The sequence below is a fragment of the Homo sapiens genome, chromosome 6, assembly GCF_000001405.40.
Source record: "Homo sapiens chromosome 6, GRCh38.p14 Primary Assembly".
NCBI classification, from domain to species: domain Eukaryota; kingdom Metazoa; phylum Chordata; class Mammalia; order Primates; family Hominidae; genus Homo; species Homo sapiens.
The window spans coordinates 33,804,375-33,828,666 of NC_000006.12; the positions used below are offsets into that span (position 1 = coordinate 33,804,375).

The 24,292-nt window shown below is 51.7% G+C and overlaps 1 long non-coding RNA gene across 2 annotated transcripts, besides 5 other annotated features; it reads right to left on the minus strand.

Moving 5' to 3' along the window:
- Positions 3,798–4,298: an enhancer, noted in NCBI's record as "H3K4me1 hESC enhancer chr6:33775949-33776449 (GRCh37/hg19 assembly coordinates)". NCBI's record gives its function as "activates a minimal SCP1, AML or CMV promoter by ChIP-STARR-seq in naive H9 embryonic stem cells {active_cell/tissue: H9 hESC(naive)}" and the evidence as "EXISTENCE:reporter gene assay evidence [ECO:0000049][PMID:30033119]".
- Positions 6,110–6,871: an enhancer, noted in NCBI's record as "OCT4-NANOG-H3K27ac hESC enhancer chr6:33778261-33779022 (GRCh37/hg19 assembly coordinates)". NCBI's record gives its function as "activates a minimal SCP1, AML or CMV promoter by ChIP-STARR-seq in primed H9 embryonic stem cells {active_cell/tissue: H9 hESC(primed)}" and the evidence as "EXISTENCE:reporter gene assay evidence [ECO:0000049][PMID:30033119]".
- Positions 7,633–8,394: an enhancer, noted in NCBI's record as "NANOG-H3K4me1 hESC enhancer chr6:33779784-33780545 (GRCh37/hg19 assembly coordinates)". NCBI's record gives its function as "activates a minimal SCP1, AML or CMV promoter by ChIP-STARR-seq in naive H9 embryonic stem cells {active_cell/tissue: H9 hESC(naive)}" and the evidence as "EXISTENCE:reporter gene assay evidence [ECO:0000049][PMID:30033119]".
- Positions 8,395–9,155: an enhancer, noted in NCBI's record as "NANOG-H3K27ac-H3K4me1 hESC enhancer chr6:33780546-33781306 (GRCh37/hg19 assembly coordinates)". NCBI's record gives its function as "activates a minimal SCP1, AML or CMV promoter by ChIP-STARR-seq in naive H9 embryonic stem cells {active_cell/tissue: H9 hESC(naive)}" and the evidence as "EXISTENCE:reporter gene assay evidence [ECO:0000049][PMID:30033119]".
- Positions 14,544–15,045: an enhancer, noted in NCBI's record as "H3K4me1 hESC enhancer chr6:33786695-33787196 (GRCh37/hg19 assembly coordinates)". NCBI's record gives its function as "activates a minimal SCP1, AML or CMV promoter by ChIP-STARR-seq in naive H9 embryonic stem cells {active_cell/tissue: H9 hESC(naive)}" and the evidence as "EXISTENCE:reporter gene assay evidence [ECO:0000049][PMID:30033119]".
- LOC105375025 (uncharacterized) lies at positions 15,926–17,758 on the minus strand. 2 transcript variants are annotated; one of them, XR_926711.1, is made up of 3 exons: positions 17,670–17,758; positions 16,842–16,974; positions 15,926–16,068 (listed from the first exon to the last, which is right to left on the minus strand). It is a non-coding gene; the product is annotated as an uncharacterized LOC105375025 (long non-coding RNA). The 2 variants fall into 2 exon arrangements; XR_926710.1 differs by having other exon boundaries at positions 16,842–17,105.
- Between the last annotated feature and the right edge of the window lie 6,534 nt (positions 17,759–24,292).

Sequence of the window (24,292 nt, forward strand, 5' to 3'; positions counted from 1 at the left end):
GAGCGCTGTATTAGAAAGATAACTTCTCTTCAGTCTTCCCCCTGAAGCCCCTCATGAAAGAAAGTGTTCAGGAGTTTGTGACAGCATTTCAGTGGATTAATGAAAATAAAACTACTGAGTCCAGACCCAAGGCTGTGTGGGGCCAGATGCCGCGAAGGAACCGAGGAAATGCAGAGGGGTGACAGTGTAGGAGGTCTGCACGCTGCAGCCTAAACGGGGAGAAAGACACCTACCTGGACAATGTTTCATGGTAATCATGCAATTCAAACAGTATGTGTAAAGATTCAAAGAGGGAAGAGGGAAGAGGTGAATGTGATCTGGAGTCAGACCTGGCTCGCTGTTGCTGGGGCTGGGCGGGGCCAATTCCAGAGCGCAGCATTACCCAGGAAATGCTGAGCACGAACGTTCTGATTAAACGCAGCAACCCCGTGAGGTGGGTGCATTTATTTCCCCCATTCAATAGATAAGGAAACGGAGGCACTGCTAAATAGCTCATCTGTGACTCCTCTGCAAGGTGTCTTTATACTAGGGTGAAGGCCAGACGTGGCCAGGTGCAGCAGAGGGCAGGAGTGAGGGCTTCTGGAGATTTGGGGCACACACAGGCTTAGAATGGTGTCACAGGAGGTCCCCTGTGTGGGCTGGGAGCCGCTCAGTCGGGTCTGAGTGTGGGGACCCTTAGCAACCAAGCAGAAGGATTTAGATTTGATGGAGGAAATGGAATATTGGGCATCTTCATGATACCTTGAAGGGGATGTTAGGGCAAAAACATCACTCTGGAAGATGTCTAGTTTTCTGGGTACCGGTCATGGACCAGGCAGAGGCTGAGGTGGGGTACAGTCTGGGTGTGGAATCCCGAGGGTCTGGGTGGGCAGTGGCCATTTTCCCAGGCGACATACGTTGGCCAGTAGCACCTTCCCCACACATCCAGACGCTGCCTCACACATCCAGAGGGGCACTATTTCTTGCCCAGGAGACCCTGCCTAGCCAGTCCTTGGGTCTGCTCTGGCCCTTCCACTCAGAAACAAATGTTTGCAGTGCTTCAAACCCAACACAGATAATTTCTACCTTCCCTACTCAGCAAGGCTTAATGAAAACAGATGGCAGCTCAGTGTCCTCGCTTCCTGCCAGCAGGGTCTCTGTGTACAGCACCCACATTAGAACTCCAGCACACTGGACCAGCGGCTGTTGTGAGATGTGCAGTGTGGCTCTGAAGTCTGAGACTTACATCAGGAATTAAAGCTCCAAATGCCGGGGGTTTGCAGCAGAGTTACCATCCCTTAACCTTGGGCCTCATTGGAGTCTGACTGTCCCTGTTTCAAGAGGGGCTTTTGGGAAGAGGTCGCTAGGCTGGGCAAGGTGGCTCACACCTGTAATCCCAGCTTTTGGGAGGCTGAGGCAGGAGGATTGCTTAAGGCCCAGGAGTTCAAGACCAACTTGGGAAACATAGCAAGACCTCATCTCTGCAAAAAATAAAAACAATTAGCTAGATATGATGGCATGCGCTGTGGTCTCAGCTACTCGGCAGGCTGAAGTGGGAGGATCATTTGAGCCTGGGAGATGGAGGATAGAGTGAGCCATGATCATGCCACTGCACTCCTGGGAAACAGAGTGAGACCCTGTGTCTGAAAAAAAAAACAAAACCAAACCGAAAGACAAGGTCACAGACCTTGGTGGGGGCAAAGTAGTCCCTTGAGAGTTGGGAAGTAGTCTATCAGCTTCTCAAGCTCTGGGATGCTCTGGGGAGCTCCATCCATAAGCACGGGCTGCTGTGATGGGACACATCACACCTGCATCTCTAGCACCTAGACCAGGACAGGCAAAATGGGCCAAACCGGCCTGCCACTTCTTTTTATAGTCTGTGAGCTAAAAACTGTTTTTATATTTTTAATAATTAAAATATCAAAAGAATATTTAGTGACATGCAAATTTAATTTCCATGTTCATAAATACAGTTTTATTGGAACAGGTCCACTCATTCATTTCTGGGTTACCTATGGCTGCTTTGGGGCTGTAACAGCAGAGTTTAAGTAGCTGTAGCAGAGACCTATGGCTTACAAAGCTGAACATATTTGTTGTGTGGACCTTTATGGAAAACGTTTGCTGGTCCTGACCTCAACAGTGTCTGGAGCATGTGATAAATAACAGCCAGATGTTACACGTATCTGCTTTTTAAAACCTTACAACAGCCCTGAGGTTCATGTGGTTATTATCCCAACTTACATGTGGGGAAACTGAGGTGGAACAACGGACCCAAGGTCACACAGCTATTCAAATGGCCAGGCCAGGATTCAAACTCAGGGAGTCTGGCTTCAGAATCAAGTTTTTATTTTTTTATTAAATAACTGTGTTCTCCTGCCCCTCATTGTTTGGTGAATGTGCATAGGGATGTTTATAGCTGGGGAAGACACAAAACAGTGGCCTGGTACCAATTCTACAAACCTGTCACTCTCTCCTTAAGCCATCCCCTGCGAGGTCTCTGAGCATGAGGCAACCTGAGCTGACCAACCGGAACAAGTGCCGCTTGTGCTGTGTGTCCTTAGGCTTGGAGATGCCAGGCTTGGGCTGGGAGGAGGACTGCAGATGGCGGACCAGGCCTATCCACTGAGCACAAGGAGACATCTGAGGCCACTTTCCCAGGGCCCCTCCACACTGGAGGTCTGAGATCCGTGCCCTGCCTCTGCTGGGCCAGTCTGGGCTCTGGTCCAGAGATGCCTCCAAGACACTCTGTCTGAGAAATGATTAGGAGCCTCCAAGCCCAAGACAGGCCTGTAGTGAGGGATGGGGAGAAGGGAAGTGCGGGAAACAGTAAATAACCCGGGATCAATTTTCTGGGCGTGAATAGCACTAACCTGGATCGCTCCCATGATTCAGTGTTTCTGACCCAAGTAATTTGCAGTATTACAGTGAGACATCTGCAGTTTGGTGTGGAAGGAAGGCAAACCAGGGTTCACAATGAGCTATGCCTGCTAATGCAGAAGGGGAATGTAGACTCACAGGGGGCTCCAGGTCTGCTTTGGGGTCACAAGCTGCTGGGATGCAGTGGCCTCCCCTCACACTCCTCTGGGCTGCAGGCTGTGTGAGCCAGCCCTTTGGGAACCATCTCACCAGGAATACGTCTTCTCTCCCCTGTTTGTGCCTTGGTCCTCGTTGGGCATTTTCCACTGCCACGATTAGTGCTTTAGAAATGGAGCTGGGTAGATAACAAGCTTAATAACCACTACTTTGTCTTTACCATGTACCTTGGCTCTCCCTACAAATGCTCAATTAGTGGCTGTTTCTCTCCTGCTAGAAACCAGACAAAAATAAAAGGAAGGCATAATCTGATGTTCTTCATTTTCCAAGTGGGAATTGCCACGGATATGCAGCAGCCGAGGCAGAGGGGAGGCGTAGAAACCTAACCCCAATCTGGGAAAGGAAGTTGACAAAACTCAGAGGAAATGGCTCAAACCACATGTGAGCACTTGATTGCTTCTTTCTCCCACAGCAGGCAGAGGTATTAGCAGTTTAGCTCTCCTCTCCTCATGACCTTGAAAATATTGTTTGCCAGGTACCGCCATAACATCTTCATTAACGGTCTGGAACAGGGAGGCAACGACATGTTAATTAAATTTGCAGATGATACTAAATTGGGAGATATAGCAAACATCAGGGAGGACAGAGATCTAATACAAGAAGATGTCGGGAGTTAGAACTGCGTGCTGGAAATGGCCAGGTGGGCTGCTGGACATATGACACCAAGGCCCCGAGGACACAGGATGGAGGATATGGGTGACAGGGAGGGACCAGCCAAGAAGAAAAGGTGCAACTGGGGGCTCCTGCGGGCGGGGCAGCTTGAACACCACCCTGTTCTCCAGGTGGGTTCCTCAATGAGCCAGAGGGCAGCGGCCAGACAAAGGCAGAGTTCAGGGGAGCCAAAACAGCCTAAGGATTGCAGGAGTGCCAAAGCTGAAGGAATAACAATGAAAAATGAAAGGTTTCAAAAGGTTGGCTTGTCCAGAACGCTGGTAACAATTAAATGTGCATCCCTCATGTTAAGCAAAGGCTAAAGCAAGGCAAAGAACCCAGGTGTAGGAGGGAGGGCAGGAGGAGAGAGAGTTGTTGCTGAGCCCTCGCATCTAAAGTCCTTGATGTCCCTTACAGAGCCAGAGGTGTGCAACTGGACTCATAAGCAAAATTACGAGTTGATGGTGACGACGTTTAAAACTGGGTCAAGCAAAGCTCTGAGAGATGTATTTTGGCAACGACTTTGTCCTGGCCCAGGGGACACAGGCTTTGGTGACCTGTGGAGTATTTTTATTCTTTTCCTTCTATGGCTCAGGATCTTTTTTCAGAACTCACAAATGATTGTTGAGAAATGACACACAGCAGAAACCATACGCCAAGAGCCCCATGATACAGACTCAGTGCAAGTGGAGAGGAAAACACTGACACAGAGAGGGTCTGGCCAGGATTAATTTCCAATTTTCCGAGCTTCTTGTTTGTGTGTTACATCTGCTACTTGAATTAACATTCCTGCATCTCCAATTTCCTGTTGAGTCCATTCAATGTGCACTGACAACCTGGACCCGAAACAATCCAATAAAATGCTTTTCTTTTTCGTTCAGCCTCAAGGACTATTGACAGTGTGCACACAACCTGGGGACTCGGCTGAGTTTTACAATAGCATCCCTGCGGATTTCCCAGTCAATATTTCCCTGGGGGTTTAAAATACTCCTAGAAATGTCCCGTCACCAACTTGCTTCTGGGTTTCCTTTCTATTTATGGGGGCTTATCGCCAAAGCTGCTGCTATAAAACTTCAAGAAGAGATCACATAACTTTTTTTCCAAGGACGGGGTGTGGGTGCTAAGAGCAGGGTCTATGCACTGGACTTCTATGGGATTTTTTTTTTTTCTGTTTCTTCTGGGAATTGAGCTTGTGGTACCAGATCTCCTTTTAATCGAGTTTTAATATTTTTATGGCAATGATGGATGCGTGTGAAGAGAAAGCAGATTGCTTTGGAAGTGATGAATTAATTCTAAGGAAAGGTTGGCCTCTTGTAAGCCAAAGCCTCTTCTTTCTCTTCAACCCCTTCAGGGCAGGCAGCGCTCCTGGCTCCCTGACCTGAGGGCACCAGGCGCTAGAACAGGAGGCAGGGACAGCTGACACATTTTCATAAATGATTAAGGAAGTCTGAAGTCTGTGGTTGAGAAAAGTTTGCACTTTCATGTTTAAGAAGGAAAGAAGTCTTGGTAGAGGTTTTAGGCCATGAGGATGGGAGCCAAAGTTGTTTCAAATGTCAGTCTTATCCAGGGTGGATTCAGGTAGAACACTCAAGCTGTCCAAATTTTTTCTCTTCCATTGCATCAGCAAACCTCAGTTGTTGACTTCCCCACATCTGCTGGGCTGATGACTTTTGGATTTGGGGGGCTGCCAGCAGCTGCAAATGGAAACAGCGGGCCACATGCAGCCTCTGCCGTTGACAGCTGTGGGTGGCAGTCACATGGGTCTCCTTCAACCAGCCCACTCTGGAGTGGCAGGAGAAAGGGGAGGATTCTGTTTCCTCTGGGGTCCAGGGATTGGGCTGGGTGGCTGGGTGAGATCTGGGTGTAGGGGTGGGTTGCCCCTCCACACCTGTGGGTGTTTCTCGTAAGGTGGAACGAGAGACTTAGGAAAGAAAAAGACACAGAGACAAAGTATAGAGAAAGAAATAAGGGGACCCGGGAAACCAGCGTTCAGCATATGGAGGATCCCGCCAGCCTCTGAGTTCCCTTAGTATTTATTGATCATTTGTGGGTGTTTCTCGAAGAGGGGGATGTGTCAGGGTCACAAGACAATTGTGGGGAGAGGGTCAGCAGACAAACACGTGAACAAAGGTCTTTGCATCATAGACAATGTAAAGGATTAAGTGCTGTGCTTTTAGATATGCATACACATAAACATCTCAATGCTTTACAAAGCAGTATTGCTGCCCGCAGGTCCCACCTCCAGCCCTAAGGCGGTTTTTCCCTATCTCAGTAGAGGGAACGTACAATCGGGTTTTATACCGAGACATTCCATTGCCCAGGGACAGGCAGGAGACAGATGCCTTCCTCTTGTCTCAACTGAAAGAGGCATGCCTTCCTCTTATACTAATCCTCCTCAGCACAGACCCTTTACGGGTGTCGGGCTGGGGGACGGTCAGGTCTTTCCCTTCCCACGAAGCCATATTTCAGACTATCACAAGGGGAGAAACCTTGGACAATACCTGGCTTTCCTAGGCAGAGGTCCCTGCGGCCTTCCGCAGTTTTTGTGTCCCTGGGTACTTGAGATTAGGGAGTGGTGATGACTCTTAAGGAGCATGCTGCCTTCAAGCATCTGTTTAACAAAGCACATCTTGCACCGCCCTTAATCCATTCAACTCTGAGTTGACACAGCACATGTTTCAGAGAGCACGGGGTTGGGGGTAAGGTCACAGAATCTCAAGGCAGAAGAATTTTTCTTAGTACATAACAAAATGGAGTCTCCTATGTCTACTTCTTTCTACACAGACACAGTAACAATCTGATCTCTCTTGCTTTTCCCCACATCTGGGGAAGTGTGAGAGGCTGGTGGAGGAGGGTGAGTTCACCAAGGAATTGAGTGTGAAATTGTTTGCTGGTCAGGTCTGGTATAAGGGGCCAGTCTCACCTTCCATTCCCTGGGGACTTCAGGCCCCAAACCCCTTCACAGATGTCTGGCTAAGTAGAGGCCAGATCTGCCACCATAAATGACCACAATCCTCCATTCCTAATCCTTGTGGCCTCGTGTGTGCCACATCTAACTATGCAGCAAATGGGCAGGTCCGGAAATCTCAAGCAGGATAGTAGGGTGAGCCAGAGGCATGATCTTGTGTTCACACTGCAGCATCCAGGACGCAGGCAGGATGAATTTGGAGACAGCAGTTTAGATAGTGGCAAGCCTCAGCTCCTCTTACCTAGATCTAAAACAAGAAAGAGCTGCCCAAAGCACTTCTGAAGACAGGGGCATTAGAGCTCACCCTTCCCTCCCTTGACACCATCCATCCCTTTTCTCCCTTCTCCACTTCTTAGAATAAGATTTTCCTTGAAAGAGCAACCAAGTTATTAGGAAATTACAGCCAAAAGCGCTGCAGGACCTTGAGAGAATATCCCCAGCTCTCAAGCAAGACTCCATCACAGAGATGATTCATTCAATCATTATTCACCCAGGGCCTGTCTCATGAATGTTGGACTGTCAGAACTGAAATCCATCCCAAAGTAAAGCTCTCCTCAGAGAAGATTTGAGTTGTTCTTTGTAAAAAGGAGATAAAAAAGGGGGAGTTTATTTAAAATAGACACGTGTAAGCCCTCGAGGGACTGAAGGCATAAATTGCAAGAACAGATCCAATCAAACCTGAATCCTCCTGCTTTCAGGTTTTACCAAGGAGGATGGAATATGAAAGGGAATGGAGTATCCCCACTCAATTCCAAGTCACATCAAGGCAGTCAGCTTGTGACAGGAAGATTACCTGCAGGAGGGCTTTATTTGATGTGAAAAGGGTTAACATCATCTTAGTAGATTAGGAATTCTCTGGCTCTCTTAGGAGGGTTAAGTGAATTCAGAGCTTTTACCTGAAGGAATGTGCATGAACCCTTTTTAGACACTGGCAATGAAACGGGGAAATTCCCTTACTTGTTTTGCATTTAACACACAGACTTGTGATTAACACAAGTTTTATTATTTTCATTTGGGGATGGCCTTGCTGGGTTGCAGAGAGGTAATGCAGAGTGGGTCAGGACTATGTTCAGTTCAGAGCAGTATGTAAAAGGTGCAGCAATGGACCCACTGGTGAGTGGTGAATAATTACTACCTAGTGTTGAGCTCTGTGCTTGGCACTGGGTGAGGGTGTGCACACGGATGTTGTAAGCACAGCCTAGCCCTGCAGGAGAACTTGTTCTGCTCGAGAAGGAAAGATGAACAGCCAGGAATCAATGCTGAATACAAGGAGACGGCACTTAGCATGGGCAGCCAGCTCTGAAGGACTCCAGAAAAGAGAATATCGTTAAGGCTGGAGTCATCAGAAAGGGCTCTTAAGAGGGGGCTGGTGAGCAGACTTCAGCTGGGTGGTGAGAAGGTGTGCAGCCTCAAGAACCTCCATGCCCATGCCATCCTCTTCTCCCCATCTGCCTCTCTCTTCCCTCGCTGTCACATCCCTCTGCCCTCAGCATCTCCCACACCCCACCTCCACCCTCCCCAGAGACTGGGGACACATTTCAGGCCAGCTGTGTTATTGGATTTTAAATGATGCGATGGCTTTTTAATTCTTGCCTAAATTGCCTTTCCATGCAGGGCACTGAGGATGGTTGATTACCAGGCAACTGGGCCCGCCGGTGACATTCCTTATCCGATGTCCCTTCAAGCTGCAGTCAAAGGGATGTGCTCTCAGGGCCTCGGCAGTGAGGTTTTCTTAGGCCTAGAAGCCACCCCCTCCCCAGCTTCCAGCCTGCAGGGCACCTGGTGGCCTCTTGGGCCCGAGTGCGCTGTCCGTGGTGCTGATGGCTCCGGCCACCCTTCACGCAGCTTTGAAACTTGGAGGGCTGAATAATTTAAACAAATAGACTTGGACATATTTCCCTTTTCCCTAAGGGCAGCCAAACGTCGCCTGCTGAGTCTCTGGAATGATTACCCTCATTCAAGGGTACTCAGGAAAACAAGAGATTCAGGAAGCTGGAGAGAGGAGCGTGGGCGGGCTCAGCCTCCCTCTGGGGGGGCGGGGGGCGGGGGGCGGGGGCTTGCTGTTAGCTCCCAAGGGAAGGGGCTGCTGAAATGGCGAGTCCAGCCCTCCCCTCAGCCACTGGCTTTGTCAGGTTGTTACAGGGGTCCAGTTTGTCCCCCCAGTGTTTTTCCAAAAAGCTCATGATGACAGGGCCAGGACTCCTAAAAGACCCCCAGCCGGCTTAGTGTGTGGAGGCTCCCACAGAGGCCAGCTCTACACAGAACCACACGGACCAATGCTGCATGGGGAGGAGATGGCTCGTTAGAGGACAAAACAGCCTGGGCATGGCGATAACCACACGGAGGGGCTTCCCTTCGCCCTCCCACCCCCAAGCTGCCATCCCTGAGGTCCCGCATGCCCTCTTCAGGCCTGGGCCCAGCTCAAGTACCAGGGAGGGGGCCCCAGCCTCCTCTTCCTCCCATTGACCCTGCTCCGTCTTGGTGCTGCCTCCCTGGTTGCTGTTCTCTTCTCCAAGTATCGTTTGGTCTCCTTCACACCCCATCCGACAGCCTAGCACTGAGTGGCTACCCCCGATGTGCCCTCTTCACAGACCGCAGCCACGTTTTCCTTCCTCACTGCCCCTGTGTGCTTCACTCGGATCCCTCCTGTGTCCAGCAGGTCCAAAGTTGTAAGGTGCTGACCAGGGCACTGAGCATTGGTGGGTGCCCAGGAAACAGGAATGCAGTCCTCTCTTCAAGGGCTAACTCTCTCGGGGGGTACGGAGAGCAACAGGGCCACTTTCTCTCAGGAGGTGCAGCCTAAGGGGCCAATCCTGGGGGGCCAAGGAGGCCAAACTCACTGAGGCCACCAGGAGGGAGTGCTCTCCTCCACGATGGGTGGGGCAGGGGACTTAAGCATAATTTGGTGATGGGAGGGGCTGAAGCAAGAGAGTTCTCCCTGAATCACGCTGTATTGCTGGGTGGGGAGAGACTATGAGAGCCCAGGGGCCAGAGAGTGCCAAAGGGGAGCCACGGGGTATGAACTCTGGGGCCTCAGCCTGGTGCTGCTGCAGGCCCCTTCCCCAGCTGTGCCCCATCCCACCACCACCCACCTGCTGGCCCGGGTGTGACAGGTTCCACCGGCCTTCCTGCTTTCATGTCGGCATTTCAGTTCGCTGATTTAACATTTCCTCAGAAAGCAGGATTGGATTTTTCCCTCACTTGATTTCCTAGGGTTTGTCTCCTCATTGTTTTTCTTCTTAAAAGAACAAAGGCAAAGACAATCACCTGTCTTTTATGCTCTGGGCTGAAATTCTGCAGCTGTTGGTGGTAAAGGAGGTTGGGGGAGGCGGGAGAGAATGTGTTTGGGAGATGGGACACAGAGAGGCAGGGTTTCCACACCCAGTGAGGTGAGCCCTGCCTCTGGGAGAAGCCCCCCCAACTGCAGATCCCAGGCCTTGGGGGAAGGTGGAGGGCACCAGAGGACGCTCCCTTGGGGGAGCAGCCGGAGCGCTGCCCTGACAACACTGAGGGTTCACACACGCACTGGCCCAAAGGCTGGATGAGGGTCACCCCACACAGCCAACCGCAGCAAGACCTGGCCCTCCCACCCTCCCTACCGCTCCCTCCAGCAGGGGCAGTGGAGCGAGCAAGAGGACTGTGGGCAGCCAGGGCCATGGGTGCCACTCCTCTGCCAGGAGCAGCCCTACCGGGAAACTCTACAGGCAGGAAGGAGTTTGGCTGTGTTCTAGAAACTGACATTCCACATGGTGTGGAGTGGGCCCGGGGGGGCAGTCGGGTGGGTGGATGAGCTGTGGAGAGGAGGAGAGAGACGCCATCCCACAAGGCCCCAAGAGCCACATGAGGACACTTATCATTCCCTGACCACCGTCAGCAGCCACCCTTCCTCCCATCTGGGGGCAGAGGGAGAGAGCTAGAGGGACTGGACTCATCCTTTCTCTCTCTCCCTTTCAGCTAGGATTTGCCACATAACCTGGCTTGGCTGACTGCTCACTTCTGCCCTGGACTTTGAGTCTCAAGTGGCCAAAGATGGAAAAAAGTCAGGCTCCCTCTCAGTGGTAATGGGGGAGCTTTGGGGGTGTTCTGCATAGGCTGTTCCCACTAACAGATGCCTCTTACCTGTTTTCCAAATCTAGAGCCTCCTGTCATCACTTCTGAGCCCCCCATTTCTTTTCTTAAGATAGCCAGAAGCAGGGGGTGTTCCACAGGGGGCACACATCCTGGTTGACCCTGGATAGTTTGAAGGGGGTGCCACTGAGGGACATTAGACGGTGGGGAGAAGACATGGTGTGGGTCGGGGTACCATGTGGAAAGAAGATTGTGGGAGGAAATGAGAATTAGGGACCTCAGTCGGGAGGCCACAGGCCAGGGGAGGGAGGATGGTGATGATGGAAACCCAAGATTCAGAATATATACTTGGAAGCAGATTTGGTGATTAAAGAATCAAGGGTGATGTTTAGATTTCTGACTTGAGTGTGGTGTGGACGGCGGTGGTATTTAATCAGCTGGAGAAAACTGAGGAAGGAAGAGATATGTGTTAGGCGAGGTGGCATCCACAGTTCCGTGTTGAATATTTTAATGGTGAGAAGCTCTATCAGTGACGGTCCAAGCAGGAAAACGGAGCTTTCGCCAGGCAGTTCAATCAGGGAATATAATATGCAAAAAAATTCCAGAGGTGCTGGGGGAGCTGAGCAGGAGATGGGGAAAGAAAGATCCGAAGATTGCTAATGGCAGGAATCTGCTCCACCCTAGGTTGGAGGAATAGGGACAGCCTGGGAGCTGGGCTGCCCAGTGGGAGCTGGGATGCAGAGAAGGGGCTACCCAGGGGCCTCCCAGGCTGGAACTGGAACTGGAATTGTGGAGGGACAAACTCTGGAAGCCAATAAACAGCCACTGGCAGAGACACCACAGATCAGAGGAGTGGGAAGAAATACCCAGGCTTCTCCTCTTCTCCCTCCTACCAGCCTCCAGCCAGTGACTGCTATTGGTCTAACCTGACAGGAAGCCAGCAGGCAGGGAGCCTGGGAAATGTAGTTTGTGGGGGCAGCACACTGTGATCCATTGCAGAGCAGGGGAAGGGGGCAGGCGCACAGGATCCTCACAGATGCCACCAAAAATCACTCTGAGTTTGACAAGTCTTCCTCCAGGAGTATCTGTATTATTTTTATTTTTATTTTTTATTTTCATTTTTGAGACAGAGTTTAGCTCTGTCAACCAGGCTGGAGTGCACTGGCACAATCTCGGCTCACTGCAACCTCCGGCCCCTGGGTTCAAGTGATTCTCCTGCCTCAGCCTCCCGAGTAGCTGGGATTACAGGTGTGTGCTACCACGCCCGGCTAGTTTTTGTATTTTTAGTGGAGATGGGGTTTCACCATGTTGGCCAGGCTGGTTTTGAACTCCTGACCTCAGGTGATCCGCCTGCCTCAGCCTCCCAAAGTGCTGGGATTACAGGCATGAGCCACCGTGCCTGGCCCAGGAGTATCTGTATTTCTAACAAGCCCTATTCAAAAGGATAAATCTATAATGAGGAGATTCGGGTATCAGGGACAGGTGAGTCTGGGGGCCATGGATTCATGAGGGTCCCTCCTAGTTCCTCTGCAGGATGTGATCTTTGTTCCATCCAGGCTGAGTCTGCCTTGGAAGTCAGAGCTGGACTTGTTCATATTCTAAGAAAGCCACCCCCAGATCTGCCACCTCCATCCCCACCTTTCCAGTCTCTATCTTCAACATCCTTCTCCTTTCTTTCTTTTTCTTTTTTTTTTTTTTATTTGCAGGGAATGGAAACGGGACTTGTCAGAAACCTGCCTCCAGAATAAAGAGAAGAAGGGGAAATGTGATTAGGAGAGCTGTGAAGTGGTGATGACAGCAGCTGCTTAATATGGAAAAAGGAATCCTAATTATTGCTTGGACAGGCAGGAAGTAAAAAGTCAATCAGAGCCAAGGTGGAGGGCAAACACGCATGTCAGGGCGGGCTGCCCCTGCTAAGAACCGCATGCCTTCTTGAGGTGGAGGAGCCTCTGACTGAGAGGCAAGGAGATGGTGAGCAAAGGAACTGGGCCAACCAGCCGCTCAGCCTGGGGGAAACTGGTTCTCCTGAGGAACTGGCAGGGCTGAAGCAGAAGAGCTGCATTCGTATTCCAGCCAGAAGAGCAGGGGCTTTGGGAGAGTGTTAGGCAATGCATCTGGCCTCAGGGGTCTCAGTTTTCTCATCGGTAGTGACCCAGATGTGTCCGACTTCTCCGGTCTATGGGGTCTGTGATTTTCAGGGCGACGATACTCTGAGCCCCTCCCATTCCCGCCATGTGGCAAGTCCAGTCTTTTTCAGGTTTCCCTCCCAAGTAGTTCTAGGGATCCCTAAGGAATTCTTGCACATCTCCCAAAATCCGTGGTGGCAGCTCTGCCAGCATCTCGCTCCCACTGACAGCTGTTCCTGGTCTCTGCCTGCCATGTCTTCACTGTGGGCACTTTCAGGTCAATTCCTTCCTCCTCAACCCCTTCCTTCCAAGCTGGGACACGGCCTAATTCCCTTAATTTGCAAAGTCTGGCAAAGACCAGGCTCTGGGGTTTAAACAAGCTTTACTTAGGGCTTAGCCAGTGTAAAGAAAAGTTGGCTGGCAGGTGCCCTGATCCTGCCTCCACGGGCACCTCTCCAACCCTTCTCCCACTGGGTGGCTCTCACTTTAGGTTGGACCGATACCAAGCGGCCACTTACACCTTTAGTGAAAGCGCCTTTGGCCCTAACCCTGTGACCCATGGTCCAGATCCCCAACCTCTGCTGAGCTGAGAGACAGAGAGAGAGAGGCCACATTGCCTCCAAAATCATGTGCTTCTCATCAAATCCACTCTCTCCAGTCCAGAAGAGGAGTTTAGCTGCACTTTTACACAAAAAAATCTGCTAAATTATTTTTCTCAGAACAGAAGAGCTGTCTTTCCACAACACGAATCAGAGAAGTGCTGACAGCTTTGATATAGAAGTTTGTTCCCATTTCTGGCCAATGAGGTTGCAAAAATATTGGGGCTTGGCTTGGCTGGAGCCCCTTTTCATGTAGATCATGGGGTCAAGGTCTGCCTTGCTGGGGTGGGGTGAGCATTAAATAGACAATGGATGCCAAGAGGCTGGTGTGTCTGGTAGGTGCTCAATCCATGCTGAGGCGTTTCCCCATCTTGACTCGGTTACCTCAACTGTAATATTAATGTAAGGAAGGGGGTAGGCCATGCTGGGGACTTTGGAGGCCCCTCCCAACTCTCTTAGTACCAGATACAGGGAGGAGGGAGTTTTCTGGGTGATGACAAAGGGCTTGGGGGTGGGACCAGACCAAGCACTGTGCACGTGGGGTCTCCTGGAGGCTGGCTTCGTGGACCCTGAAATGTGTTGAAGCTGGATTCAGGTCCAGGCACTCTCCCTCCCTGCTGTGCTGTGTGCTTCTTGGGCAAAGCACAACCTCTCTGTGTTTCACTTTCATCTACTGATGACTGGGCATATTTGTCTCTTCCAATCCTTCACTTCCTGGTTGACCTGAGAATTGAATGAGACATGGATGTGAAAATCTTTCTTCAACTTAAATGTCATCTCCACCAAGGACGGGACCAGCTGTCTGATTTAGGTTTGAGTTGCCAACACCTGAAGGTGAAGGAGAGCCAGGCCTGGGGTTGTGTGAACCCAGGGGTTGCAGGATCTAACCCATGTGTGGAGGGTTTGGAGAAGCCACCTGCATCCATACATACCTACACATGCGTGACGCTGTTCGTGTCATTGCACCCCTGCTGGCCTCGCTGTTAGTAGAGTGACTGCCTAGCCCTGCACCTGAGACACAATGGTGCTTACTAAGAGCTTGCAAAATAAATGGATTTGTGTGTGAGAAGCTCTGGCTTAAAAAGGGAGAAAATGATCAAAGGGGTAGAGAAAATCAATAAGGATGGAAATATCTCAGCAAGGAAGGCACATCTCCAGGTAGAAATATGGTCTGCTGTTTGTTCAGCTGTTAGCAGTTGCTGAGAGCTTTCCATGGGGGATATGGAGATGGACAAGGCACTGTCCCTGCCCTTCAGGGGCTCACAGCTACATCGAAGGGGAAGCAAATGATTCACAACCTCAGTAAAGGGCGGGCCAGGCAAAGTCCAGAGGACACAGAGGATAAAGGTCAGTGGGCCTTTCATGGTAGATGGGCTCCAGGAGGGCTCCCAGGAGGAGGTGGCATTTCGATGTAGAGCAGAGAGGAGGGTGCTTAGGCACAACTTTTCACAGGACCTGATGGAGTGGCACAGAGGTCAGGCAGGCAAGACCCTTCAGCAGAATAGTTGAGGCTGTGGGCTCTGTTCCGGACACCTAGAGGGGGAAGCTGACTGCCCCCACCCCCGTGCTGGACCTGGACCTTCTCCCTGAGTGTCTGCTCCTGCTGGGGGTGGGGTGCCCACTGCTTTTCACTATGCTCTGAGCTGAGGCCTTCGATCTACACCTGTGTTGCAGCATCAAAATGCAGCTCAATTCGACTGAACACGTGTTTATGGAACAGCCACTGTGGAGCCCATAGCAGCGGCCCTGACTCGCTTCTCCTCTGGGGGTTTGGAAGGGAAGAGGATTCTGACTCGGTTTCTGGCCCAGGATTGTTCTTACCCACCACGATGGGGAGGAGGTTGGGAGGAATAAAAAGCAGGCACAGTTACGACCAAACGAGAGGGACACACAGGCCGGTGGATCCCGCCTTTTCAAGCATGAAGATCCATGGTTGACAAAAAAGTCTCAACCGCTTTGAACACGACTGGATGTGAAAGAATTACCATTAAGCTTTTTTCTTTAAGTGTGATATTGGTGTTTTGACTCTGTTTAAAAACAAAGTCCTTATCTTTTAGTGATCTATAGTAAAAGATTGAAATAGGAAATGATATGGTGTCCGGGGTTTACTTCAAAATAACTAGGCAGGGGACATGGCTGCGGCGTAGATGCAATGAGACCGGCCAAGAGCTGAGGGCTGCTGATGCTAGGGAAGGGGTATCTGGGGCTCCCCAATTATCTCTGCTTGTGTGTGTGTGTGTGTGTGTGTGTTTAAATTCTCCAGAATAAAAAAGTTAAAAAGAAAACCAAAAAAGAATAAAACCCAGCATCACTTTGAAAATAAAAACTTTCAACTGAGCTTTCAGTACAAGTCACTGTGTATGAAATTCCCAATGACAAAAATCCACTATGGGTTCAGCAACGTTTTGGATGCATTTGCATTTTATTAATCACAAGAGCATCTTTAGACATCTGAAAAATGGCAGTGCAAGTGTGTGGGACAGTACGTTCAGTCTGCAGGCCGTGTTCAGCTGGCGTGCGATGTAGGAGATCTTTGACAGTTCTCGAGCCAGATGGGGCTGGGCGTGCCGGCTGACAGCAGCCACTGGGGAATGAACAGCAGTGGCCTCAGGCTCCCCAGGAGGTGGACTGTGGGGTGACAGGGATCACGGGCCAGTTCCTGCCACAGACCTGCCACATATGGTTGCTGTGCATGGTGGGGAATGGCTTCATTGACACCTCGTAACCCCATTCCACCTGCTGTGCCTCATTAGGCAGGTGACACATATTCTTCAGGCTCAAGAGAGAGCTAGGGATGTGGAGGAAGGTGGCTCTCCCAGGTCCCTGCCCCTGCCAGAGTGGAGCTCTGGGCACTTCCGGGGTTGAAATTTGGGGTCGACCCAGTTTTCCCCCTGCCCGTCCCCACTCCTCCCTGTGGGCAGGTGCTGGTGCTTTCTCCGCTTCCCAGCCTCCCCTTTGTTTTTTCTGGCTTCTTCTCCTGTCGTTGCAGTCCCAAGGCAGGGCTCAAGAGGCCAAATGGGAGAATGGAGGGAGATGCTCTTCACCCCCCATTTTGTGTTCTCATTTGTGTCCTTCCAGGGAAGTCACTGAAACAACCTGAGGACTTCTCCAGGAGGATTTACAAAGAGGACACAAGGGGAGGGCATTGCTTAACCGAAAGGAATAACAACCATGGAGGAGGAGGGAGGGGGCAGGGAAGCAGGGGAACTGAGGGAGGTGGGAGAGAGATGGGAGGAAGAAAAAAGAAAGAAGGATAGAGTGTGTGGTGGGAGGGAGAATTGGTACACAGCGAGGCAGGAAACAGAGGAACTGGGGTTTCCTGCTGTCACCCAGGCCCTGAGTGGGCTTGGTCCTGACCTGGGGAGACTCCAGTTGCAGGGGCATCTGTGTCCTCTTCTAATGCAGCATGCTACCATCCATCTGCATCCCAGTGGATCAGACTAGGTCCCTGTCACTGCTGTCACTTCCACTGTGACACAGCAGTGGCTCCCTGCCACCAAGAAGCGGTCTACAGGCACCTGGGCTGGCACAAGCAGAGCCTCTTTTCTCTCCGCTTTCCCTCTCTTCCCCATGTGGCGGGCAGCTTGTGGCTGGCACTCTGGAAGGAGGGTTTAGAGAACCCTGCCACCCACCCCCAGGCCAGATGGGAGGTAGCTGGAAGTGGGAGCAGGAAGGCATTTGTCTGATGCTGTGAGACTACAGTGCTGCTAACCTCCTGACCCCCACCCCAGGCTGGAGCTGAAGGAGTTTCTAGGAGGGGGTGCACTGGGCTTGCAGGGCTTCTCAGACTCGGTGCCCAAGGAAGTCTACACGGGGCTCCCAGTCAGCATTTCTGGGCCAATCCTCTATGTCCTATATAGGTTGGGAGATTTTGCCACATGGAGGTCTGCCCAGCCTGCCCACCTCCCCAGGAGAAAGAGGCCTGAATTTGGGGTCCTGTAGGACCACTAACTGGCTATGTGACCTGAGGTGAGTTGCTGCCTGCTAAGGTTTGAATGTGTCCCCCACAGTTCATGTGTTGGAAACTTCATCCCCAATGCAACAGTGTTGAAAGGTGGGACCTTTAAGAAGTGCTTAGGCCATGAAGGCTCTGCCCTCGTGAATGGATTAATATCATTATTGAAGGAGTGGGTTAGTTATTTCGCGAGTGGGCTTGTTATAAAGGCAAGATCAGCCCCCTCTTACCCTTGCTGTCTTGTGCCCTCTTGCCCTTCCACCTTTGGCCATGGGATGACACAGCATGGAGGCCCTCACCAGATGCTGGCACCTTGATATTGGACTTATTGGCCTCTAGAACAGTGAACCATATAAACTTCTATTGTTTATCAATTACCCTGTCTGTGGTATTCTGTTATAGCAACACACAATGAACTAAGATACTGCTCTCTCTGGGCTCATTTCCCCATCTGCTGAGAGGCCATACACTCCCTACCAGAGCCACTCTTGGGACCCCAGGCTAGAGGGGTGAGGAGGAGGGAATTGGAGCCCCTTCCCGGAGGTGCTGGGCTGCACTGGGGCTCCTCCCCGAAGAGGGCTGGAAAGGAAGAGATGGACTTTGAGGTCCTGTCCGGTCCTGTGCTCCTGCATGGCTTCTGCTTTTCCTTCTGCCCATCCAAATCCAGCTGGCTCCTCTAGGAGGTCCTCCTGGATTGCACTAGCCCTTTCTGCCCTCCTTTCCTGTGACTACAGGGCTGAGTCCCCAGTCCCGTGCTGGGACCAAGAGGGTGCAGGTATCAAGGCTGAGGCCTTAGTTATACATATTTTGCAAAGAATCTTCTAGAGCAGGCCTCTGGCAGAATCTCAGTGCTGCCCCTCTCACCCCCGGATTCGTCACCTAATTGGATCAGGTGCCTGGACATGGACCAACCAACTGTGGCTGAGGAAATAGGGCGGGACCATGTGATACAGGTCCCGGCGCTGGCACATCCCTGTGGCCAAGCTGGGAACTTCAGGGCATATGGACCCCTCTCTCTCCCTCCTCCTCCCTCAGGCCAGGAGTCAACAATGTCTGTTCCCAGTGCTGCTGCTCCACTGTCCCCAACCCAGGACCCCATCACCCCTCTCCGGGATGTCTGCACCTGCTTTCTCCCTGGTCTCCAGACTCTCTTCTCCTCCTCCTGCCAGCCCATCCACCCTCAGCCTTGCTTCTGAATGCCTGATGGCTCCTCTTTCTGTGAAGTCACAGCCACTTAGGGACTTTCAGCACCTGCCCGCCACCAGCTTTTTCTGGCCCACCTCCAGCGTCTTCCAACCCCCATATCTGACCAACCCCAGGCTTTTGGTCCAGTTCCTTAAAAATGCAGATCCTGCCTTTCTCCAGGCTGTGTTCATGCTGTTCTCCTTGGCTGGGGTCCTTCAAGGCTGAGTGAAAATGCTACCTTTCCTCTGGCTGCTTTTCCTGATTCTTCAGGTGGAATTAATTGCCACCTGTGTCCCCATTGTATCTGTAAACACCTCTAGCATCGTTCCTCCTCCTTTCTATTAATGCTATTTTATTTGTCTCACTCCCCATCACGGCTTTGTGTCTAGACAATGGGGACTGCCTCTTACTCATTTAAAATTTTGGCCTGCACACAGTAGGCACATAATAAATGCTTGTTAGGTTGAATAGATAATTGCCATTCATACCATGCATGAATTGTTCGTTTTTTTTTTTAAACTTTGAAAATTATTACAAAAATAATCTCTACAGGTATTTAAATGTTCATAACAATGCCTAAGTGGATAAATACAAAGCAAAGGTCCCTCACACAGCTTAATTCCCAGTCGAATTCCCCAGCGTGAGCCTAGGAAGAGCTGGGAATGTTTTCTCTAAGCCAGTGGTTCTCAAAGCTGGTCCTCCTCCTGGCAGCATCAGCTTGTGTTAGGAATGCAGATTCCTACTGAACCCCATGCTTGGATCCCAGGAGGTGGTGCTCTCACAAGGCTCCAGGTGACAGCGCTGGCCCAGGTGGTCTGGTTTCCAGCCTGAGAACCAGCTCTATTTGTGCAGAAGCTCCTAGGCCTGGGGCCTTCCCCAGAGCCCCAGCCCCAGTTTTGGATCAAAACTCCAAAGTCAGCCCCTTTCCTGGTCTTTTGCCTCTCTCAGCCTCAGTGGGTGGCAGAGACAGCCAGTGTGGGCATGGCCAGTGCCCTGGCCTGGCGCCGGAGGTGGCTCTGGCTGGGCCACTGACTTGCTGAGTGGTGACACTGGGGGAGTCACTGTACTTCTCTCCTCTCAAAAAGGCAGGGTGTTCTCTGAATGTTTTCCAAAAAAGATGTGAGCAAAAAAATATTTGTTCTTGGAGCTCTCTGAGGGCCTATGCTCTGGATAAAGAGAATTCTATGGAGAGATGCTATCAGTTTCCAGATTTTCTAGGAAAGGGGATGAGACCTCAAAGTGGTATGAAAGACCTCCCTTCTCCCCTGCCCTTTCCAGTGCAGAACAAATCACCTCCCTTCGGTTGCTGCATGTGTGTGGATCAAGGCAAGAAAAAACTCTACTGCATAATTCACTCTGTAAAGAGCTGTGTGTAACCAACATTTACTAAGCACCTACTCTGTGCTGGGCACTGTTCCAGATGCTGGGCATACAGTAGAGAAGAAAACAGACAAAAACAGTCACCCTGACAGAGTTTACATTCTAGTCAGGAGAAATAGACAATAAACCAAAAAACAGCTAAAATATGTAGAGCCAGGGGGGCTAAGGGCCGTGAAGGGGAATGAGGCAGCGGCTCTCCGGCTCTCCGTGCTTAGGGCCAGGAGGCTGGGTGCGGAAGTGCTGGAGTTGTGAGGCTCCTCCTATGAAACAGGAAGAGGGAGTTGCCAAGGGCTCTTCACAGGAGCCAGGACGAGGGCCGCACTGCCCTTAAGGAGCTCCCAGTGTGTTTGGAGAAAGAGGCCAGATCAGCCACAGGGCATGGTGGGTTTCTTCCATGGATGTCGTTTCTGAGCTGGCTTCGGGCAGCGCGGGGAAGGTGGGAGACCTAGGCTGGAAGGCTCAGAGTAGGCTCCGGAGAGGAGGTGGCATCTGGGCCGGGCCTTGAGAAATGAGTAAAGTCATAACTGCACGGGAGAGAGAGGGCACTCCAGGTCAAGGTACAGTGTGCGCCAAGGGTGGCAGGGGCTGCTCCCCCTTGGAGGAGGGCATGGGCCACCCCAGTCCCTGGGCTGAGCTCTGCAGGCACTGCTGGGTTTGGGCCCTTATGAATTACACCCTGTGTAACACTGCACCCTCACTGCCACAGTGCCTTGTAAAGGCCCTTGATGACAGCCTCTACCCTTGGCAGCATATTGACATCATTCCTCTGTTTCCTGCAAGGACCCCTGTCCCCCTCCCACTGCCACCGCCCTCTCCTCTCTGTCCCCTCCTAGTCTTAGACAACAAAGAACTGTTTCGGACAAAAATCAAAAGAGAACGTTTTCATTGGGAGAGTGGACTATAGGAAGCACAGAGAGCCATTTCTCTTTTCTTCAAGGAGGCCCCAGGTCAACTCCGGTCCCAGGAAGCCCCTGAGTCGGTGGGGAAAGCCAGTACAAATGAGTGGGTCTGGTGGTCCAGAAAGGGGTTGAGAAGTCTCTGTGCCTCAGTGTCCCTTCTCAGGGCTGTGTTGTGGAGCTGGGTGGAACCAGGGCCAGGCTTGCCAGAGAGAGGCCCGGTGGTGGGTGTTTTACCTCCACCCTGCAGCTCATTGCAGGACTGCAGGCATGTCTGGGCCGCAGAGACCCTGGGTTAAATATGGCCCTGTGGAGGAAGGCTTGCGGGTGCTGAGCCTGATGAAGGCATCCGGCCATTACATAACCATCCTGATAGGCTTTACACTCCCAGTGGAGACATTTTTGCGGCAATTGCCAAAATAATAATAATGATGATAATAATAATAATAATAATAATAATAATAATAATAATAATGTGGTGGCACCTCCTCCAGTCATTTTTCGACTTATTCCCCATAAATGAAAAGGCAGGATGATTCCCAGAAGGGTTGCAGCTAGAATTTCATTTCTCCCTGGCACCTGAGAGCCTGGGACGAAGGGAGAGCGCTGCATCCCCCTCGGGCCCACCCTCTCTGCCTACCTCCTCCATGACACCTAGGCCGTCCCTGGTAACCAGCCCCAGACTCTTCCTCACTTTCTTCTTCTCGCGCCATCCCACAGCTACAACTCTGGTTGAGTCCCCTTGCCTTCAAGGTTCCCCGACTGCCTGCCTTCGCCCTGCCCCCTCCTCCCCTCCCTTCTTTCTCTGCCCCCTCCTCCCTTCACCTCTCCTTTTCAATGCTCCCCCAGGTCTCCTGCACAATACTCTTCCCCATCCCTCCTCTCCCCTTTCTCCCGACCCTTCCTTCTCTCCCACTTTCCAGGGTTCTTTCCATTTTGCAGATGAGCAAAGAGACCCAGAGAGACAAAGGAATTTGCCCAAGGTCACAGAGCCCATCCACCTGTGTGTTCTCGCTCCAGAACCCAGCTGGTGATGGTAGCATTGTAGGTGCTTGGCGTGCCACAGCTGCTGTCCATTTCATCTGTGAGACGAGGCCTGGACAATCGTCCCTCTAGCCAGGCTGTCTGTATTGCAGTCCTCTGGGGTGTCCACCTGGGAAGCCGCAGGTCTGGCTAGACCAGCCCCTTGCCCTGTGGCCCAGAAGCGTTGGCATCACCTGGAGACTGGGTAGAAACGCAGAATCTTTGAATCAGCTTCAGTATTTTAAGGATACACCCCAGGACATTCATGGGCACATGAGAGTTTGTGCTGGAGTCTTTTCTTCAGGGTGGGGAGTCCCTATTCTGCTAGTCTTGCCTGCAGGAGGAAGACATATACCCTTCAGCCATCCCAGGTGTTTGTGCAGGGTGAGGGACCAGGCTGGGTGGAGCCGTGTGCTCACAGCCATGGGCAGCAACCCCCTCTCCTGGCGCTCTTCTGCATCAGGAAAAGCATGTCAGAGTCCTCCACCCAGGCTGCCTGGCTCAGAGTGGGGCTGCAGTGGGCAGGTGCTTGGCTGATTTCCTCTGGGTCTCCTGATTCCTGGCCATGCCCTGAGAGATAAAGGCTTGGAAATCAGAACCTGGCATTCATGGGCAGGGCCTGTCCACCTGTTTCCTGAGTGTAGGTAGGACACATGGGTGGCTCTGGCCCAGAGGCAGAGGCAGGATACTGAGTGGAACGGCTGCAGGCCAGGCCCCTGCTCTGTAGTGCCTCCCAGCCAGCCACCCCAGCCCTGTCTCAGGCCTCCCACCCGAGGTTCTAAGAGTAGCTCCTGGGAGGAGGGGGCATTCATCTCCTGGGCCCCATAAGGAAGCTGCTCCCAGCCCTGTTGCTAGTGTCCCAGGGCTGGAAGGGACAACTGTCTTCCCATTCAAACCCTTTATCTGACAGGAAGAAACAAGACCTGTGAGGGAGGGGGCTTGGACAAGGCCCACAGCTTGGCCTCTGGAGGGTAAGGTGAGAGAGAAGCAGTTGCCTCACTAATGGCATACACCAGGACGTAAGTGGCTCAGGCCAAGAATCCCGCAGTCACCTTCGCCTCACCTCTTTCACACTGTGTGGCAGAGTAATGATGGCCACAAGTTCTTTGTTCTCTCCGCTGAGAGATGGTGGGGTCTAATTCCTCTCCCCTTGATCAGGGCTAGCCTTGGCGACTCACTTGACCAATAGAAGGCAGTAGGAAGTGATGTTCTGGGATTTCTGAGGCTAGATGGTAAGAAGCCCTGCAGCTTCTGCCTTGGCTTCCTGAGATGCTTGCTCTTGGAACCCAGGAGCCCCAGGAGAGGCTCACATGAGGAGGGGCTGAGACCTCAGGTGGATGGGCCAGGCCAAGCCCCAGTTGCAGCATCAGCCTGCGCCCACCAGCTGTACGGGACTCATCCTGCTTCCCAGGCCACCCTGCTGACATCATGTGGTGCAGAGAGGAGCCTTCCCCACTGAGCCCTGTCTGCGTTTTGCAGATTCATAAGCAAAATAAATGCCTGTGGTCGTTTTAAGCCACCAAGGATCGGGGGTGGTTTGTTGTATAGCAATAGATAACTGGAAGACATCCCGAATCCAATCTGTCAGCAAATCTCATCAGCTCTGCCATCTAAATATATCCACAATCCAGCCACTGTCATCTTTTGCTTGGAGATTACAATGGCTTTCTAACAGCGTCCCTGCCACCTGCCCTTTGCCCCTGCTGTCTGTTATCCTGTTAAAACTGAAGCCAGGTCACACCTTTCTGCTCAAACCTTCTATAGACTCCCCTTCCACTCAGAGTGGAAGCCAAAGTCCTTTCCATGGCCCAGAAAGCCCTGTGGAGTTGGATGCCACTTCCCTCCCTGCGCCCACGTCCCTCTTGCTTACTGCCTCCTTCCACTCCAGCGCTGATCTGCTTGTTAGTCTGGGATCATCCGAGTCCCGCCCTGGCAGGACTCTTTGCACCACTGCTTGGCATGCTGTGTGGAAGGAAGCTTCCCATAGATGCCCCCAGGGCTCCTGCCCTCATTTCATTTAGGTCTCTGGTCACATGTGTCCAGAGGGATTTCCCTGCCCAAGTGGTAGAAAGAGGTATTCCTGTTCGTTCCAACCTCCTCATTCTGTTGTATTTTTCTCTGTGGCGCTTAGCACCAATGTCATTCTATGTTTACTTTGTTTAATGTATTTCTCCCCTCACTAGAACGTAGAGTCCTTCAGAGGAGTCTGTTTTGCCTGTTTGCTTTGCTACTCAGCAGGTATTTATGAGGTGTAGGAATGAACGAAGCTGGCTTGGGCTGGCCAGGCGTCCTGCAGGGCTTGGGCTCCAGGGCCCTGCTCTCCTGGCCTTCTCCTGCAAACCAGGCTTCCCAGACCCTCTTGCTTCTGC